Raw genomic sequence first — 19,606 nt, forward strand, 5'->3', positions numbered from 1 at the left:
TGCGCCTGGCACAAAATGCTTTCTAATCAATCTTCTCAAAACCCTTTGCCAAATACTGTAGTAACGACGCCACGGATTTGCCCCTTTCCATCAAACTCTGCTAATAGGAATACTGGCTAATTCTTTTTTTCCTTGCCCCAGTTAGTGAACTTGTGGATGTGTGCAGTGGCCACTTTGGGGATGAGGAACCTTGTGCCCATGATGGTGATTCTAGGGAGAATTTCGAATCACATAGCAACATAGTTATCTAGTGCAGAAACCTTTTAGGACCTTTATAGGTGACCTATCTTCCTATGGTCCTTTTTATACTTGAAATGCAAACCTAAATATATTTTACTCTCTGATTAAATGTTATTTCTCCCTAGTTTTTCTATTTTTGATTTTCATTTAAAAAATACTATGGATTAGGTCTACTATCAGAGCAGTCTTTACAAGATAGCTTTTTTTTAAGAGACAGGGTCTCGCTCTGTCACCCAGTTTAGAGTGCAGGGGCGTGATCATAGGTCACTGCAGCTTCAAACTCCTGGGCTCAAGTGATTCTTCTGCCTCAGCCTCCTGAGTAGCTGGGACTACAGGCACACACCACTGTGCCTGTAAATAAAAAAAAATTATTTTATTTTTTGTAGAGAGAAGGTGTCGCTTCATTGCTCAGGCTGGTCTCAAACTCCTGGCTTCAAGCGATCCTCCTGCCTCACCCTCTGAAAGCACTGGGATTACAAGCGTGAGCTACCACGCTGGGCCCAAATCTTTCTAATTACCACATTTGAATAGCTATTTTCTTTACCTTCCTAGGAAGTGTTTTCAGACTATAAGAATAAAGACAGAAGTTGCATGAAAATAAGCATCCTCTTTGCTCTGTTCCTTGGTGGTAAATTCCATCTCAATAGTGTTGAGAGGTAGGGGGGTGAGTAAATCAGCATGTGAAAAGCAAGCCATTTTCTCTTTTACCCTCCCATTTTCTGATTTTGATTTGCTTCAGTAGCATCATTCCAGCATTCTCCAGTCCTCTAGACTTGGACATATTTGATTAATAATGATTATTATGGCTGTATACATTGTAGAGGACTTTGTACTTTTCAAAGTGCTTCTACGTTCATATATATATATTTTTCTCTTTCCTTCATCATCTGCTATTAATTCATCACCAAGTTCCAACTGATTCCATAGCTGTAATGTCTTTTAAATTCAACCACTTAATTTCAGTAGCTGACACTGTAAAAATCACAGCATAGTAGGGCTGGAAGGATCCTTAGAAACCACTTAATATGAGCTTCTCATTTTATAGATGTAGAAACTGAGATCTAATGTGGTTGAGTAACTTTGGCAAGATTATAGTTACCCCCTACCCCAGGCTCCTTGACTACTACTTTCAAGGCCATAAATCAATGGTTGACTGTTTGGTTTCACCCCCACCCACCTGCCCACCCCAGTTACGTTCCATTCTGTATAGAGTTGGGAGAAAAATATTTTTCAAATTCCATATTCTTTTTTTTTTTTTTTTGAGACGGAGTCTCGCTCTGTTGTCCGGGCTGGAGTTCAGTGGCGCGATATCGGCTCACTGCAAGCTCCGCCTCTCGGGTTCCCGCCATTTTCCTGCCTCAGCCTCCAGAGTAGCTGGGACTACAGGCGCCTGCTACCACGCCCGGCTAATTTTTTTGTATTTTTAGTAAAGACAGGGTTTCACCGTGTTAGCGAGGATGGTCTCGATCTCCTGACCTTGTGATCCGCCCGCCTTGGCCTCCCAAAGTGTTGGAATTACAGGCGTGAGCCCCCGTGCCCAGCCTCAAATTCCATATTCTTTTTTTTTTCTTCATTGTATTCTTTTTTTTTCTATTTTTTAATTTTATTATTATTATACTTTAAGTTTTAGGGTACATGTGCACAACGTGCAGGTTTGTTACATATGTATACATGTGCCATGTTGGTGTGCTGCACCCATTAACTCGTCATTTAGCATTAGGTATATCTCCTAATGCTATCCCTCGCCCCAAATTCCATATTCTTAAAGGTGGGCTCTTTCCTGGAGACTTAATGGGATTTCTTATTTTTCGATATATTAAATCAAAAGTCCGTTAAGTGGTTTTATTATGTATTTCTTCTTCTTCTTTTTTTTTTTTTTTTGAGATGGAGTCTTGCTCTGTCACCCAGGCTGGAGTCCAGTGGTGCGATCTCGGCTCACTGCAACCTCCACCTCCCAGGTTCAAGCAATTCTCCTGCTTCAGCCTCCCGAGTAGCTGGAATTACAGGTGTACGCCACCATGCCCAGCTAATTTTTGTATTTTATTAGTAGAGACAGGGTTTCACCATGTTGACCAGGCTGGTCTTGAACTCCTGCCCACATGATCCGCCCGCCTCGGCCTCCCAAAGTGCTGAGATTACAGGCATGAACCACCGCACCCGGCCATGCGTTCCTTCTTTATAAAGTAAACACGTGCATTTTTATAGTAAATGAATTACATTTGAATGTATGTTGTTTTTATAATGTCCTGAAATTTTGGGCATACATATTTTACTTACCCAGTATGCTTGAAATATCTTGAATTAGAAACTGTGCCATTTATTTCTTTTGTAAGCCTTTCTATGGTGTCTTAAACAGTGTTCTGAGTTGGTGCTCAATAAATAAAAATAAAGTTCTCGCCTGGCACCGTGGCTCATGCCTGTAATCCCAGCACTTTGGGAGGCCGAGGCGGGTGGATCACGAGGTTAGGAGATCGAGACCATCCTGGCTAACACGGTGAAACCCCGTCTCTACTAAAAATACAAAAAATTAGCTTGATGTGGTGGCACGCGCCTGCAGTCCCAGCTGTTCAGGAAGCTGAGGCAGGAGAGTCGCTTGAACCAGGGAGGCGGAGGTTGCAGTGAGCCCAGATCACGCCACTGCACTCCAGCCTGGGCAACACAGTGAGACTCCGTCTCAAAAATAAATAAATAAATAAAAATAAAATAAAAATAAAGTTCTCTTCGAAGTTAAGTGCAAAGACAGTGCTTGGAAATATTTCTTTCAATAATAAATGCCTACAAAATGCTTGTCATCTTCCTCTACTATACTTCTTCACTTACCATACTCATACTGTTGCATGAAAAATACCATATTTTTTCATGCAATTGCCTTTTTTCCTCATGTCACTCTATTCTCCTATAAACTCCTTGAAAGAAGGAACTGAGCCTCCGGTAGGTTCTGAATAACATAGTACGTTCTTAAGAAATATTGATTTCATCTAACTGCATTGGCTACACCAAGTGTTGTAGGAATACAGAGAAGCACAGAGGAAGGAATAATTAACTTTTCTGCAGGTGATGTCGTGCTAGAGAAAGCCATACCAACATCTGAGTTGAGTCTTGAATTTGCTGGGCATGGGGAACAGACATTTCAGGTAAATTACCAAGGTGCAGAGAGTTCCAACATTTTAGATGTGACTTTGTCTAAGATGCCCCAGTCAATCGGTGGTTTGCCATATTGAAAGCTCAGAACTCAAAGGGCTATTTATTTGAATTTCAATTGATTACTCAAGTTAAAACAAATGTTTTCTTAATATTGGATTAAATAAATCATTGGAACATAAATAAATTCAAGGAAACATGTTAGATAAAGGAAAAATTAGTAAGTTCAAATGTCTACTCTTAATAAAGCAAGGTAATTTGGTGAATCAGTAACCTCTATTTTAAAATTGCAACAAAGCTTTATAATATGATCCTATTGATTTTTTTACTTTTTCAAGAGTTTGAAACATTTAGTGACAATGTTTAAAAATCAGTTTAAAATATTAATCAAAAAAAGTAAAGGCATGTGAATGCTTTTCTAATTTTGTTGTTGTTGTTGTTATTTTAGACAGAGTCTCACTGTCACGTAGGCTGGAGTGCAGTGGTGCGATTTCGGCTCACTGCAACCTCTGCCTCCCGGGTTCAAGCGATTCTCGTGCTTCAGCTTCCAGAATAGCTGGGACTACAGGCCTGCGCCACCATGCCCGGCTAATTTTTGTATTTTTGGTAGAGAGTGGGTTTCACCACGTTGGCCAGGCTGGTCTGGAACTCCTGACCTCAGGTGATCCACCCGCCTTGGCCTCCCAAAGTGCTGGGATTATGGGCGTGAGCCACTGCGCCCGGCTTCGAAATATTTTTGACACTATAACTTGCACTGTATTTTGTTTTTAATACTTAAATGTGGTTCGTGAAAACTATTTTTATGTTTATGCTTCTGAGCTTCTGGTGCCCTCTAGTGGCAATAATTTACTGTTAAAACCTTACGTTTTGAAAATGATATAGTTTAATTCTAAATTCAACGTTTCACTGGGAGAAAATTAAATTGTAAATGATGGGAAGAAAGTGCTAATTTGGATCAGTGTAAAGTAATAACTCCTAGAAGCATTGTTGGAACATGTGATGAATAATCATTTAAGAAATAAGAGTGGGGGCTGGGCGCGGTGGGCTCACCACAGCCTTGACGCCCCCAGGCTCAGGTGATTCACTCACCCCAGCCTCCTGAGTAGCTGGGACTACAGGCATTAGCCACCACACCTGGCTAATTTTTTTTTTTTTTTGTATTTGAGACGGAGTCTCGCTCTGTCGCCCAGGCTGGAGTGCAGTGGGCGATCTCCGCTCACTGCAAGCTCCGTCTCCCGGGTTTACGCCATTCTCCTGCCTCAGCCTCCAGAGTAGCTGGGACTACAGGTGCCCGCCACCACGGCCGGATAATTTTTTTGTATTTCTTTTAGTAGATACGGGGTTTCACCGTGTTAGCCAGGATGGTCTCGATCTCCTGACCTCGTGATCTGCCTGCCTCGGCCTCCCAAAGTGCTGGGATTATAAGCGTGAGCCACAGCGCCTGGCCTTTTTTTTTTCTTTTCCCCTAGTCGGAGTCTCGCTCTGTTGCCCAGGCTGGAGTGCAGTGGGGCGATCTCGGCTCACTGCAAGCTCCACCTCCCGGGTTCAGCCATTCTCCTGCCTCAACCTCTGTAGTAGCTGGGACTACAGGCGCCCGCCACGGGGCCCGACTAATTTTTTTGTATTTTTAGTAGAGACGGGGTTTCACTGTGGTCTTGATCTCCTGACCTCGTGATCCGCCCGCCTCGGCCTCCCAAAGTGCTGGGATTACAGGCGTGAGCTACCGTGCCCGACCATATGTAGCATTTTCATTGGCTTATTTGGGGAATGGTACCTCCTGGTTGTCCTATATCTCTCCTTGGATCTCTCACTCACATCTCTCTCACACTTAAAGTTTAACATAATTCCCACATATGTTCTTTCTGGCTTTTTGTTTTGAGAGGGAGTCTGGCTCTGTCGTCCAGGCTGGAGTGCAGTGGTGCCATCTTGGCTCACTGCAACCTCCGCCTCCCTGGTTCAAGCAATTCTCTGCCTCAGCCTCCTTAGTAGCTGGGATTGCAGGGGCCCGCCACCATGCCAGGCTAATTTTTTTGTATTTTTAGTAGAGACGGGGTTTCACCATCTTGGCCAGGCTGGTCTTGAACTCCTGACCTTGTGATCCGCCTGCATCGGCCTCCTAAAGTGTTGAGATTATAGGCATGAGCCACTGCGCCCGGCCCCCTCTGGCTTTCATGATTATTTTTCCTTCCACCATTTTTTCGTCCCATTGATCTCTTTTCTATTCGCTAATCTATCTTTCTGTTCTGATGCTCTCTGTATTTTTTTTTTGAGAAGAAGTTTCGTTCTTGTTGTCCAGGCTGGAACGCAATGGCCCGATCTCGGCTCATTGCAACCTCTGCCTCCTGGGTTCAAATGATTCTCCTGCCTCAGCCTCCCAAGTAGCTGGGATTATAGGTGCCCGCCACCAAGCCTGGCTAATTTTTGTATATTTAGTAGAGATGGGGTTTCACCATGTTGACCAGGCTGGTCTTGAACTTCTGACCTCAGGTGATCTACCCACCTCGGCCTCGGCCTCCCAAAGTGCTGGGATTACAGGTGTGAGCCACCGTACCTGGTCCAATTTCTTTGTATTATTTATTGCCTTTCCTTTGTATTTTGTAACTGGTCTCCTTGAAAAGTTATCTTTTTTTTTTTTTTTTTGAGACGGAGTTTCATTCTTTTTGCCCAGGCTGGAGTGCAATGGTACGATCTCAGCTCACCACAACCTCCACCTCCGGGGTTCAAGCGATTCTCCTGCCTCAGCCTCCCGAGTAGCTGGGATTACAGGCATGTGCCACCACCCTGGCTAATTTTGTATTTTTAGTAGAGACGGAGTTTCTCCATGTTGGTCAGGCTGGTCTTGAACTCCTGACCTCAGGTGATCCACCCACCTTGGCCTCCCAAAGTGCTGGGATTACAGGCGTGAGCCACCGTGCCCGGCAATGCTAGGTATTCTTTTAAGCACTTTATAAATATTAACTCAATCTTCTCAACAATGTATGAAGTAATTGTTATCTCTACTGATGAAATTGAGGTACTGAGATATTAAGCAGCTTGACATAATTGTTCATGCTGAATATACCTCTCAAAAAACATGAACATTTTTCTATGTAACTACATCAAAGAAAAGTGACAATTTCTTAATATCATCTAAGATCTAGTCTGTGTTTAAACATCCGCAATTGTCCCTAGAATGTCTTTACAGCTAAATTGTTCAAATCAGGATATAAGTAAAGTCCACACATTGCTTTTGGTTGTTTGCTTAGGCCTCTTTAATCTGAACAGTTCTCTTCCTCATCCCTTTTTTTATGACCTTTCCTTGACCTTGCCTTGTTGAGAGGGAGAACCAATTGCCTGCAGAACGTCCCCTTTTGAATTTGTAGGATCAAAGCTCTATTTCACTGTTAGCTTGTTTTAGCTCACTTCTGGCTATAGGTGGCCTCAAGCATTCTGTTTGTTTGTCCTTAATCATGTGATATTTTATAAGATTTCTTTCTACTCACTTAGCTCTTCTAAGTTCATTAAAACCCTTGCTTGCCTTTTACCTTATAATACTACATACCACTGTGTTCTGGAACAACTCCCCCCTCCCCCGCTTTTTTTTTTTTTTCCGTTCAGGACTTCTGACATGTCTTTTAGATAGTATATGTCTGAGAGCTCTAAAATTCCTAACTCTGTGTTGTCAGGGTCTGTCTTTCCCCCAACTTCACTGTTCTACATCAGCATAGTACTGCCACCTAGAGGAACTTCTGAAAATTTGTGACATTTTTCGTTTGTCACAGTGACAGTGACTGGGGGCTGTACTGGCATATATTGACCAGAGGCCACACTTGGAATCATCCTCAACAACTAAGAATTATCTTACCTAAAATGCTAATAGTGCCTAGGTTGGGAACACTATGTAGTCGATCCTAGTTAACTTACTCTCAGCATGACTGACACAATGTGATACACCAGCACGTAGTAGATGCTTAATAAATATTTGTTGCAGCTGGGCACAGTGGTTCATGCCTGTAATTCCAGCACTTTGGGAGGCTGAGGTGGGCAGATCCGAGGTCAGGAGTTCGAGACCAGCCTGGCCAATATGGTGAAACCCCATCTCTATTAAAAATACAAAAATTAGCCGGGCGTGGTGGTGCACGCCTGTAGTCCCAGCTACTTGGGAGGCTGAGGCTTGAACCTGGGAGGCGGAGGTTGCAGTGAGCCGAGATCGCACCACTGCACTCCAGCCTGGCCACAGAGCAAGACTCTGTCTCAAAAAAAAAAAAAATTTGTTGCATAAATGAATGCATTTTGAAATTTGACTTTTGTAAAGCAGACTATTTTGCCAGAAAAAAAAATTCACAAAAGTTAACTATTTTGTTAGAAATCCTTTAATTACAAGTGAGAAAAATTCAGCTTATACTGGATTATGTAATTGAAAAGTCCAGGGGTATCTGCCTTCAGAAATTGCTGGATCCTGAGGGTCAAGTGGTATTATCTATACTTAATCTCCTTTAATTTTTTGACTTTCTACTCTGGGTATTGACTTCACTTTCTGAAAGGCTTTCTCCTCAAGGTGGCGCCCAGCAGCTCAAGGCTTATATCCCTCTACCCTCAAGCCCAGCAGAAAAGATAATTCTCTTTACTCAACAGTTTAAACCCATACTTTAATCTTACCGGAGTTATTTGCAACATCTGTGCGTCTCTAAACCAATCATTGTGCCCTGATGAGATGGGGTACATTGGTGGGTCAGGCTGGATTGTGTCTTTTCCCTCACCCAAGACAGGAATTGAGTTAGCCCACCTGATCCAGATGCCTTTATCAGAAGAGGGAATGGATGCTGAGCAGGAAACAAACCACACACATTTCCACTGTACAAACCATCACTCTACAAAATATCACAAAAGTATCCATTCAGTCACTGTCACCTGTGCTAGGCACAGATTTTAAAAGTATAATTATGCAATGTAATTTTAATGTAATTTTACAGTATTGCTCATATATTTTGAATATCTTATGATGTAAAGCATCATCTCTTTCTTACCACAAAACTAGAAACTAAGGGATATTCCAAACAAAACTGAATCCTTTAATTAAATTCCACAGGTATTTCTTAAGGCCTACTTTTGTTATCAAATTCCTAGTAAAATAATTGCAGAGCAATTCAAGATAGTATGTATCAAAATGCTAAATTTAATCTGACTTCTAAAATGAGGGGCAGACAGTATGTTCTGCCAGTCGCGGTGGCTCACGCTTGTAATCCTAGAACTTTGGGAGGCTGAGGTGGGCAAATCACTTGAGGTCAGGAGTTCGAGACCAGCCTGGGCAACATGGTGAAACCCCGTCTCTACTAAAAATACAAACATTAGCCGGGTGTGGTGGCATGTGTCTGTAGTCCCAGCTACTCGGGAGGCTGAAGCAGGAGAATCGCTTGAATGCAGGAGATCAAGGTTGCAGTGAGCTGAGATTGTGTCACTGCACTCCAGCCTGGCACTGGGTGTCAGAGCGAGACCCTGTCTCAATAAATAAATAAATAAATAAATAAATAAATAATAAAACATGGTGCAGACAGTACCCTAGGCCCGCTAGGCTTTGCCTATGGGGAAAGTGAATGGGCAGCAGGAAATAATATTTATAGACAATGTTATCTCTCTGAATATATGTTATGAGTATGTAGCTGCTGTTGTTAAAAATTAAATGTCTATTAATAGTATTTTTGGCCACTGTTATTTAGCAGATACCAAGAGAAACTCATTTTTTAACTTAAAAAGGACTTAATTGCCTCAAAAAGGCTGGGATTTCTGATTCAGGCAATCAAATATTCTTGTTACAGAGATACCTTTTCCCATCTCTCTCATCCTCTCCCAAGTCTGAAATACCTCCCTCTGCCTTTTACTGGAAAAAATCAGAGGAAGAAGAGAGTATGGCTAGAAAGGCAGGTGAAGGAGAAAACAAAGGGAGAAGGAGACAGGGAGAGGGAAAAGAAGAAGAAATATAGGAAGACGAAGTTGATATGCAAGATTTGTTGAGTGGCTGTTGTTTAACAGGAAAGGTCATGTGGGCATGAGGGGGTGTTTCACTTTATATATTGTCCTTTATGTTTACATTGATATTACTCCATAATCAATAGTCAAATACATTTCAGTCCTCATCCCAACTGAACTCAGAAGCATTTGGTACTATTGTTCATGCTTTCTTTCTTGGAATTGTCTTTTTCATTTTTTTGAGATAAGGTCTCACTCTGTCACCCAGGCTGGAGTGCAGTGGCACTATCTTGGCTCACTACAACCTCTGTCTCCTGGGCTCAAGAGATCTTCCCATCTCAGCCTCCCAAGTAGCTGGGACTACAGGCTCATGCCACCATGCCCAGTTAATTTTTGTATTTTTTGTAGCGATGGAGTTTCACCATGTTGCCCAGGCTGATCTCACACTTCTGGGCTCAAGCAATCCGCCCACCGAGGCCTCCCAAAATGGTAGGACTACAGGCATGAGCCACCGCACCCGGCTTTTTCATTATATGTTGTAATTTTATTTTCTCCTGTAGCAGGAGAGAATACCTGTTTTTCTACTTACTCTTTAAATGGTGTTTCCCAAAGTTCCTTGTTTTGCTCTTGACAAAACAAACAAACAAACAAACAAAAAACTCATTCTTTGTGTTCTCAGAGATCAGTTTATGCTGATGACTCAAATTTATGTTGCCAGCCAAAAATTTTATTTGAATTCCAGACTTACATTTCCATCTGACTTATGGATATTTATACCCAGCTGTCTTGTAATTATCTCAAAAGGTTTGGACCTGAGCTAATCTTTCTTTATGTACATGACCTGCCTTTGTTCAAAAAGTATATCAAAAGAGAACCATTTGGGTTCTTATTATTTCAGTTATCTATTGCTACAATAATACTGCCTAACAAATCACCCCCAAAGTTCATTGGCTTAAAATAATAATAATCATTTATTATGACTGACAGCTGGTTTCACTTATGCATTATGAGGTTACATGGCTCCGCTGAACGTGACTGGGCTTTCACATGTTAGGGGACAGCTGGCTATAGACTGGGTTAAGTTGAACTTGGTTGGATAACTGGTTTCTTCTTCATATGTCTCGTACATGCATATGTTTGTCATGTCCCTCCAGCAGGCTAGCCTGGGCATTTTTTCAAGCAATCTTGTGGAATATGCTCATGGTGATCATAGAAAACTAAAAGAGATTGGAAAGACTCAAGAACTTTTTCAAGTTGCTGCTTTCTTCAAGTTTGCCAGTGTCACACTGGCCAAAACATACCACATTGCCCAGCACAGAGTCAGAGTCGGGGAAGACTAAATAGAATTATATAATAGGTTAAAGGGTATACATACTGGAACCCATTTAATTGAGGCCATTAATGCAATCGGTCTACTGTACTTACCGAAGTTAGACTTGGAGTCAACCTTGGTTTCTCTGTTTTTCTTACTTTTTATGAAGTTGGTCATGTCTTCTTCATTCTTCCTCAGAAATAGAATCATTCCTTTCCATCAGTGCCCATCAATGCTGCATAATTCCGAAGAATTTAACCATCACTCTTGTGATAGTTAATTCTATGCTTCAACTGGACTGGGCCAAGGAGTGCCCAGGTTAAACATCGTTTCTGAGTTTGTGAGGGAGTTTCTGGATGAGATTGGCACTTAAATTGGTGGATTAAGTACAGTAGATGGCCCTCCCCAGTGTGGGTAGGTATCATCCAATCCATCCTGAGATTGGAAAAAGGCAGAGGAAGGAGGAATTTCTTCCTTTTTGCTTCCTGCCTACTGCCTGATTGAGCCGGGACATCAGTTGTCTTCTGCCCTTAAGTTGGGATTTACCCCAGTGGCACCCCTGGTTCTCAGGCCTTTGGGCTTGGACTGGAATTTATACCACTGGCTTTCCTGGCTCTCTAGCTTGCAGATGGCAGATAGTGGGGCTTCTCAGCCTTCATAATCACACGATCTAATTATTTCTTACTCAATTTCTTCCTCTTTCTCTTTATATGTATCCTGTCCCACTGGTTCTGTTTATCTGGAGAGCCCTGACTAATACAGCTCTCCTGGATTAGTACAATAGCCTTTGCACTCGTGGGTTCTCTTCTCTCCCCTTATCAAGTTCTACATCGAATCACAATAAAACTGGTTTAGTTTCTGTATGAGCCCTGCAGATCCTCATCAGTTGGTCTCTCCCTTCTCAGGCAGCCCTGACCCACAACTCCGGAGATGTTTAAGCCCTCCCAGGGTGTGCCACAGTGAGGAGCTCCAGGGAATGTGGACAGGCGTGAGCCACTGTGCCTTCCCTTCATTGTTTTGTTTTAAATCACCATTCACTACCTTTACATTTCATTAGTGGTTATCAGATTTATGTGCATTAGGCTGAGTGTGGTGGCACCTGCCTCTAATCCCAGCACTTTGGGAGGCCGATGAGGGTGGATCACCTGATGTCAGGAGTTCAAGACCAGCCTGGCCAACATGGTGAAATCCTGTCTCTACTAAAAATACAAAAATTATCAGAGCATAGAGGCATGTGCCTGTAATCCCAGCTACTTGGGAGGCTGAAGCAAGAGAATCGCTTGAACTTGGGAGGCAGAGGTTGCAGTGAACTGAGATTGTGCTATTGTACTCCAGCCTGGGTGACAGAGCAAGACTCTCTCTCTCTCTCAAAAAAAAAAAAAAAGTGCATTATAATCATCTGGCAGGCTCATTAAAACAGATTTCTGAGGGCCATCCCTAGATTTTATGATTAGGTAGACTGAGGGTGGGGGCCAAGAACTTCATTTCTTACTTTCCCGCCCCATAGTGATACACTGATGCTGATAGTCTTGCGACTGCAGTTTGAAAACTACCTTATTTATGAATACAGTCCTAACTCCTCAGCATAGCAAAGACCTCCATAACTCGACCTTGGGTGTGAAGAACAGGGGATTCTGCCAGGAAGTAGTGACAATGCAGGGAGCACTGTGGGGCAGAAAAAAATCTCTTCCTTCTTCCATTTTGAGTTTGTGGCTGGGGCCCCTGTAACAAAAGAAAGATTAACAAAAGAAAAGCATACACGTTTATTTATTTATTATTTTTTTTTCACGATGGAGTTTCACTCTTGTTGCCCAGGCTGTAGTGCAATGGTGCGATCTTGGCTTACCACGACCTTCGCCTCCCGGGTTCAAGCGAATCTGCTGCCTCAGACTCCCTAGTAGCTGGGATTACAGGCATGCGCCACCACGCTTGGCTAATTTTTGTTTTGTATTTTTAGTAGAGATGGGGTTTCTCCATGTTAGTCAGGCTGGTCTCGAACCCCCGATCTCAGGTGATCTGCCTGCCTCAGCCTCCTAAAGTGCTGGGATTACAGGCGTGAGCCACCACACCCGGCCACATTTATTTAGTATAAGTTTTTGTGACAGGAAGCGTTCATAAGGAAATGAAGACCAAAAGAAATAATTAGAACTGAATGTTTTTATGCTGAGCTTGATGAGGTGTGGAGGTCATGGAGAAATATAATAGGAGGACAAAAGGGCATGATCTAATGGGAATAAGCTGGGGAAACTTTTTTTTTTTTTGAGACAGAGTCTCACTCTTTCGCCCAGGCCGGAGTGCAGTGGCGTGATCTCAGCTCACTGCAAGCTCCGCCTCCCGAGTTCACGCCATTCTCTTGCCTCAGCCTCCTGAGTAGCTGGGACTACAGGTGCCCGCCACCGTGCCCGGCTCATTTTTTGTATTTTTAGTAGAGACAGAGTTTCACTGCGTTAGCCAGGATGGTCTCGATCTCCTGACCTCGTGATCCACCCGCCTTGGCCTCCCAAAGTGCTGAGATTACAGGGGTGAGCCACCGCACCTGGCCTAAACTGGGGAAACTTAACAAGGCTTGTTTGTTCAGATTCCTCTTGGTGTCCTGTGTCTTCAGAGATAAGGAAGCCCCTTTCCTCTGGGTACAGAGTGGGCATCTTTCAGATGGGGCTCTTGGAGCTGCTTCAGGAGAAGGTCAGAAAATCCTTCTCGCATATGCTGCTTCTCAGAGTCCTTCAGCCTCAGGTATTCAATGTGCCAAGGTGTCTATATTAGTCCATTTTCACGCTGCTGATAAAGACATACCCGAGACTGGGTAATTTATAAAGAAAAAGAAGTTTAATGGACTCACATCACAGTTCCTCATGGCTGGGAAGGCCTCACAATCATGGTGGAAGGCAAAAAGTGTGTCTTACATGGTGGCAGACAAGAGAGAATGAGGACCAAGTGAAATAAGTTTCCCTTTATAAAACCATCAGATCTCGTGAGACTTATTTACTACTATGAGAACAGTATGGGAGAAACCGCCCTCATGATTCAATTATCTTCCACCAGGTCCCTCTCACAACACGTGGGAACTATGGGAACTACAACTCAAGATGAGATTTGAGTGGGAACACAGCCAAATCATATCAGTGCCTTATTTTGGAGTAGCATATCCTGAACCCTGTGAGCCCCAACTCAGCCATTCCTTACTGGAGACTCACCTGGGACACATGTGAAAAAAAACCCACACCTGGATTACCCTCCTGAAATCTGACTTAAATGAATATCAAGAAATAGTCTGAAGGGAAAAGAAGGTACTAAAGGCAAATAGCCTCATTAACTAGTATAGCATTACCTAGGAGAAGAAGTGTGTGTTCAAGAGGGGAGTGTTGAGGCCCTTGCTGTTGAGTCCCTTTGGTACCCTCAGCAGGATGGGTTTTGTAAGCAGGTTATGCCTTCAAGTCCATCTTATTAGCTGTTGGTGCAGTTGCTTTCTTCTTCTGCTACATTTGTAAATTAATGAGGTGCTCCATCCTTTCACCTCCACTTAAGGGTAGGAGGTGACGGTACTGGGGAGCGTGTGTTCTGAGGCTGTACAAGAATTATGTGGAAGCTTTGAAAAGACATACAGATTCCTATTGCATATGTACCAACTGAGAACCTCCAGAATGAGAGCTTAGAATCTGTATTTTAATTTAGTTTTATTAATTTTTAAAGTGTGGTTGGATGCGGTGGCTCATACCCGAAATCCCAAAACTTTGGGAGGTCGAGGTGGGCAGATCACTTGAGCCCTGGGGTTCAAGACCAGCCTGGGCAACATGGCAAAACCCCATCTCTAAAAAAATGCAAAAATTAGCCAGGTGTGGTGGTGGATGCCTATAGTCCCAGCTACTGAGGTGGCTGAGGTGGGAGGATCACCTGAGCTCGGGAAGTTGGGGCTGTGGTGAGCCGTGATCGTGCTGCTGAACTCCAGCCTGGATGACGGAGTGAGACCCTGTCTTATTATTAGTTTAAAAAACACAGAAAAATATAAACAAGAACACAAAATTGGCCCATGTTTCCTTTATCTGGATAACCCATGTTGACATAAAAAAGCCAAAAACACGCATGGGTTTGGAAAATTCACATAGCATTGAAGATACAAAACAAAGTAAAAAGTAAAAACTTCTCTCTTCCCACCTACCCTTAGACTCTTTCCTAAAAGATTATTACTACTTTTCTGTGTTTTTACCTAGGTAACATTTGGGAATCCACTTTTTTGGGGAAAATCTCCCCCATTAATTATCATGATTAGTCAGATTTGAGAGTTGCTGCTCTGAGGAAATAGAGAGACACATTCATGCATTCAACTTGTGCCAAGACAGTTAGGCTTCATTAGCCCAGCCTTTATGTGGTAACAGATACAATATGTATTTCCATTCCATCAGTATCCATCCAGTAAATCTTTATCCACCTAAGTAAATTTTATTTTATTTTATTTTATTTTAATTAATTTATTTTTTTGATACTGAGTCTTGCTGTATCGCCTAGGCTGGAGTGCAGTGGCAAGATCTCGGCTTACTGCAACCTCCGCCTCCCAGGTTCAAGTGATTCTCCTGCCTCAGACTCCCAAGTAGCTGGGACTACAGGTGCCAGCCACCATGCCCAGCTAATTTTTGTATTTTTAGTAGAGATGGGGTTTGACTATGTTGGACAGACTGGTCTTGAACTCCTGATCTCGTGATCTGCCTGCCTTGGCCTCCCAAAGTACTAGGATTACAGGCTTGAGCCCTCCCAAAGTGCTGGGATTACAGGCTTGAGCCACCGCGCCCAGCCGGAAATCTTTACTGTGGTAAGTGGTGTAAGAGACAAAAATGAATTGCAGCCCTGGTCACGCCCTTAAGGAAGGATCTTCTATCCATGTATTGTAAGATATAAATAACTAACTACCGCTGGGCACGGTGGCTCACGCCTGTAATCCTAGCACTTTGGGAGTCCAAGGTGGGTGGATCACGAGGTCAGGAGATCGAGACCATCCTGGCTAACACGGTGAAACCCTGTCTCTACTAAAAATAGAAAACATTAGGCAGGTGTAGTGGCAGGTGTCTGTAGTCCCAGCTACTCGGGAGGCTGAGGCAGGAGAATGGCGTGAACCCGCGTGGCAGAGCTTGCAGTGAGCCGAGATCGCGCCACGGCACCTCCAGTCTGGGCGACAGAGCGAGACTCCGTCTCAAAAATAAATAGCTAACTAACGAACTGACTAACTAACTCCTGTAAGCCTGGAAGAAATGAAGCTCTCATAGAGGTTTAAGACATTGCCATGGGCAGCAGAAAGAGGACCAATTCATGAGTTCTGGTGGGCAGGCAGCATTTGAATTGTCTTTAAAGGATAACAAGTGAAATGGTAAAGAAAGAGGGGTGGAAACGGGAGGCCAAGTCCAGTCCAAGGAATAGTGTGAGTCAAAGTGTGAGACCACCACATCATTTAAGCAGGAGGCAGGGGCTTAAAAACTTATTGTCCCATTAAAGATTTGGAACTGTTTATAGACAATGGGAAATTTTGAACGTTTTTGAGAAGAGATTTAACGGGACAAGACTGATGCTTTGAAAAATAATACTTGTGGGCAACAGGTTCACAGAGAATCAGGCCGCTGGAGAATAATTTTTAAAGACTCAACTGAAATTTGTACTGATATTCAACACAGTCTCTCCACCAGTTTCCCCTCTTCTCGTGGGTTTTGTACAGCAGGAGTGTGATGGATGCTTTTGTGTTTGGACCAGCTGGAGGTGGAGAGGCCAGTTACTGATAATCTGCAGTATAGACAGTGAAAGAAAAAAGAGAGTAGGGCATAAAGAGATGTGCCTAAGGTAGAATCAGAACTTGGTGACCAGAGGGGCTGGTAAGAGAGAAAGACAATTAAAATGGATAATTCCTAAGATTTCACCAAAGGCGGTGGCTTATGCCTGTAATCCCAGCACTTTTGGAGGCCGAGGCAGGTGGATTACTTGAGGTCGGAAGTTCGAGACCAGCCTGGCCAACATGGTGAAACCCTGCCTCTACTAAAAATACAAAAATTAGCTGGGTGTGGTGGCACGTGCCTGTAATCCCAGATACTTGGGAGGCTGAGACAGGAGAATAGCTTGAACCCAGGAGGTGGAGGTTGCAGTGAGCCGAGATTGGGCCGCCGCACTCCAGCCTGGGTGACAGAGCTAAGCTCCATCACACACACACACACACACACACACACACAAGAAAAAAAATTCTAAGATTTTAAGATTTCTAGGCTAATAGACCAGGTGAGTGTTGGGTATCGTTAACTGAGAAGGGAAGGTAGGAAAATGGGCAGGTTGTAGGGTAGAGGTTGCTCACGGCTTTTGTAGGAAGATGGAAGTATATCACTTTAAGTTTGAGTTACACTGGGAGTATTCATATAGGGAGACCAACCTAGCGGACATGAGAAATTAGGTCTGAAGCTCACAAAATTGGTCAGAGCCAGGTATATAGGTTTGAGTAGTTGTAGGTCTATAAGGACTGACGTCTTGGAGGCGGATGGGACTGCATGAAGGCTGTGGTTTTCCACACTTTCGCATGTGTAAGAATCTCCTGGAGGGCTTGTTAAAACATGTTGCAGCCCAGCCACCCTTGGAGTTTCTGATTCAGTCTGGTTAGGGCTCAATAATTTGCAGCTCTAACAAGTTCCCGGGTGGTGCTGATGCCATTGGTCTAACTACTACGTTCTGAGAAGCGCCAGCCTAGGGAACGTGTAGTGAGAGAAGAGAACTAAGGGTAGGATTTGGGGGAGTGTTCTGGTTAAGAAGGAAGTGAAGGAAGAGGAAGTAGTGAGGGATACTGTAAGGGAAGAAAAACATCCTTTCCCTTCTACCCTCCTAAGTTCCCAGCTGGGGCCCCTGTAACAAAAGATTAGCAAGAGAAAAACATACAAATTTATTTAATATAAGCTTTACATGACATGAGAATTCTCGTATAGAAGTGAATACTAAAAGAAGCAGAGTCAAATGCTTATTTACTGAATTGGACAAAGAGCAGTAAATTCTGAAAATGTGACAAGACAAAAAGGCTTGAGCTAGGACAATTCATGGTGGAAAAGTAACTAGGAAGGGAAGAGTGAGCTTGACAAGGTTTGTACAGATTTTTCTCAGCCTTAACTCCCCATCTCTCTGGTAAAAATGTTACTTTCCTTCTGGAGTAGGGAGCACATCTTCCATATGGGAATTTTATTTCCTGTTTTTAGGAAGAAAAAGGAAAGGTCAGAACCTTTCTTGTACTTGCTGTTTTTTAAGTGTCTTTAGCTCAAAATAACCCTTGTGCCAAATTGGCATATTTTGGGGTGGCATATTCCACTACTCTTCAATACTTACAGATTTGTCTTAGAGTTTTCATCACATTGTAATAAAAATAGTTGCACATTAAATATGTACATTATGCACATGTATTTGCATATTAAGTAGGCATCTATCAGGGACACAGGAAGTTTCATAAGAAAACTAGGGAAAGAGAGAATGCTGTGAATCCCATATATTTGGTCTTTCTAGGAATCCCTCTCACTCTGTTTCATCCCTGAATGGCTTTCGGTTGAGAGTCACCCATTTCACACAACCCTCTCTATTAACTGAGCAGCTTTTACTCATCCCTGAAACAAAAAAGTCAAACCAAATTTATATCCTGAGATCTCCTATTAGTTGTTTCTAAAAATTGAAAGGATTTTAATTTTTCAAACTCTGAGAAAAATAAAAATAATATGAGTTACACAAATAACTCAGTGAATGTTGGCATAATATATTCTTCTTAATTTAGTTAAATTGTTTCCATACACAGTTTTGTTTGGAAGGGTGAGCTACAGCTGATGGGCAATATACGTATGTAAGGCTTACATGTGCAAAATCACACAGCAGGAACTGGCTCACCAAGTAAATTTTTATTTATTTATTTATTTATTTTTTGAGACAGAGTCTTGCTCTGTCGCTCAGGCTGGAGTGCAGTGGCAGGATCTCAGCTCACTGCAAGCTCCGCCTCCTGGATTCACGCCATTCTCCTGCCTCAGCCTCCTGAATAGCTGGGACTACAGACACCTGCCACCACGTCCAGCTAATTTTTTGTATTTGTTTTAGTAGAGACAGGGTTTCACCGTGTTGGCCAGGATCGTCTTGATCTCCTGACCTCGTGATCCGCCCGCCTCGGCCTCCCAAAGTGCTGGGATTACAGGCGTGAGCCACAGCGCCTGGCATGTAAATTTTTAAAAAGCCCTGCTAATAAAGATACTGAAAAATATTCAAAGTAGTTTTAAAAAAATACATCTATAATCTTTTTTTTTTTTTTTTTGAGACAGAGTCTCGCTCTGTCACCCAGGCTGGAGTGCAGTGGCACGATCTCGGCTCACTGCAACCTCCACCTCCCAGGTTCAACCGATTCTCCTGCCTCAGCCTCCCGAGTAGCTGTAATTACAGGCATGTGTCACCACACCCGGCTAATTTTTGTATTTTTAATAGAGATGGGGTTTCACCATGTTGGCCAGGCTGGTCTTGAATTTCTGACCTCAGGTGATCCGCCCGCCTCGGCCTCCCAAAGTGCTGGGATTACAGGCTTGAGCCACCGCGCCCGGCTCATCTATAATCTTATATTTGAGAAGTAATCACCATGAAGATTTAGGTTTCTTTCTTTCTTTTTTTTTTTGAGACGGAGTTTTGCTCTTGTCATGCAGGCTGGAGTGCAATGGCGCGATCTCGGCTCACTGCAACCTCTGCCTCCTGGGTTCAAGCGATTCTTCTGCCTCGGCCTTCCGAGGAGCTGGGATTACAGGTGCACGTGACCACGTCTGGCTAATTTTTGTATTTTTAGTAGAGACGGGGTTTTGCCATGTTGACCAGGCTGGTCTTGAACTCCTGACCTCAAGTGATCCGCCTGCCTCAGCCTCCCAAAGTGCTGGGATTACAGGTGTGAGCCACCACACCTGGCCAATCCCAGTATTTTTATGCTGGGTTTGAAGTAGCTGAGAT

The 19,606-nt window shown here is 43.2% G+C and overlaps 1 protein-coding gene across 4 annotated transcripts in view, besides 5 other annotated features; it reads left to right on the forward strand.

Moving 5' to 3' along the window:
* The window catches only part of ANK2 (ankyrin 2), a 678,115-nt gene that overhangs the window by 53,082 nt on the left and 605,427 nt on the right, over nucleotides 1-19,606 (forward strand). The gene's annotated exons all lie outside the window — the stretch shown is intronic.
* Nucleotides 84-897: an enhancer, noted in NCBI's record as "OCT4-NANOG-H3K27ac-H3K4me1 hESC enhancer chr4:113679943-113680756 (GRCh37/hg19 assembly coordinates)". NCBI's record gives its function as "activates a minimal SCP1, AML or CMV promoter by ChIP-STARR-seq in naive and primed H9 embryonic stem cells {active_cell/tissue: H9 hESC(naive and primed)}" and the evidence as "EXISTENCE:reporter gene assay evidence [ECO:0000049][PMID:30033119]".
* Nucleotides 898-1,711: an enhancer, noted in NCBI's record as "OCT4-NANOG-H3K27ac-H3K4me1 hESC enhancer chr4:113680757-113681570 (GRCh37/hg19 assembly coordinates)". NCBI's record gives its function as "activates a minimal SCP1, AML or CMV promoter by ChIP-STARR-seq in naive and primed H9 embryonic stem cells {active_cell/tissue: H9 hESC(naive and primed)}" and the evidence as "EXISTENCE:reporter gene assay evidence [ECO:0000049][PMID:30033119]".
* Nucleotides 898-1,744: a biological region, named in NCBI's record as "Sharpr-MPRA regulatory region 864".
* Nucleotides 1,450-1,744: an enhancer, noted in NCBI's record as "tiled region #864; K562 Activating non-DNase unmatched - State 22:ReprW". NCBI's record gives its function as "activates a minimal TATA promoter and a strong SV40 promoter by Sharpr-MPRA in K562 cells {active_cell/tissue: K562}" and the evidence as "EXISTENCE:reporter gene assay evidence [ECO:0000049][PMID:27701403]".
* Nucleotides 15,215-15,741: an enhancer, noted in NCBI's record as "H3K4me1 hESC enhancer chr4:113695074-113695600 (GRCh37/hg19 assembly coordinates)". NCBI's record gives its function as "activates a minimal SCP1, AML or CMV promoter by ChIP-STARR-seq in naive H9 embryonic stem cells {active_cell/tissue: H9 hESC(naive)}" and the evidence as "EXISTENCE:reporter gene assay evidence [ECO:0000049][PMID:30033119]".

This window comes from Homo sapiens, chromosome 4, assembly GCF_000001405.40.
Source record: "Homo sapiens chromosome 4, GRCh38.p14 Primary Assembly".
Lineage (NCBI taxonomy): Eukaryota > Metazoa > Chordata > Mammalia > Primates > Hominidae > Homo > Homo sapiens.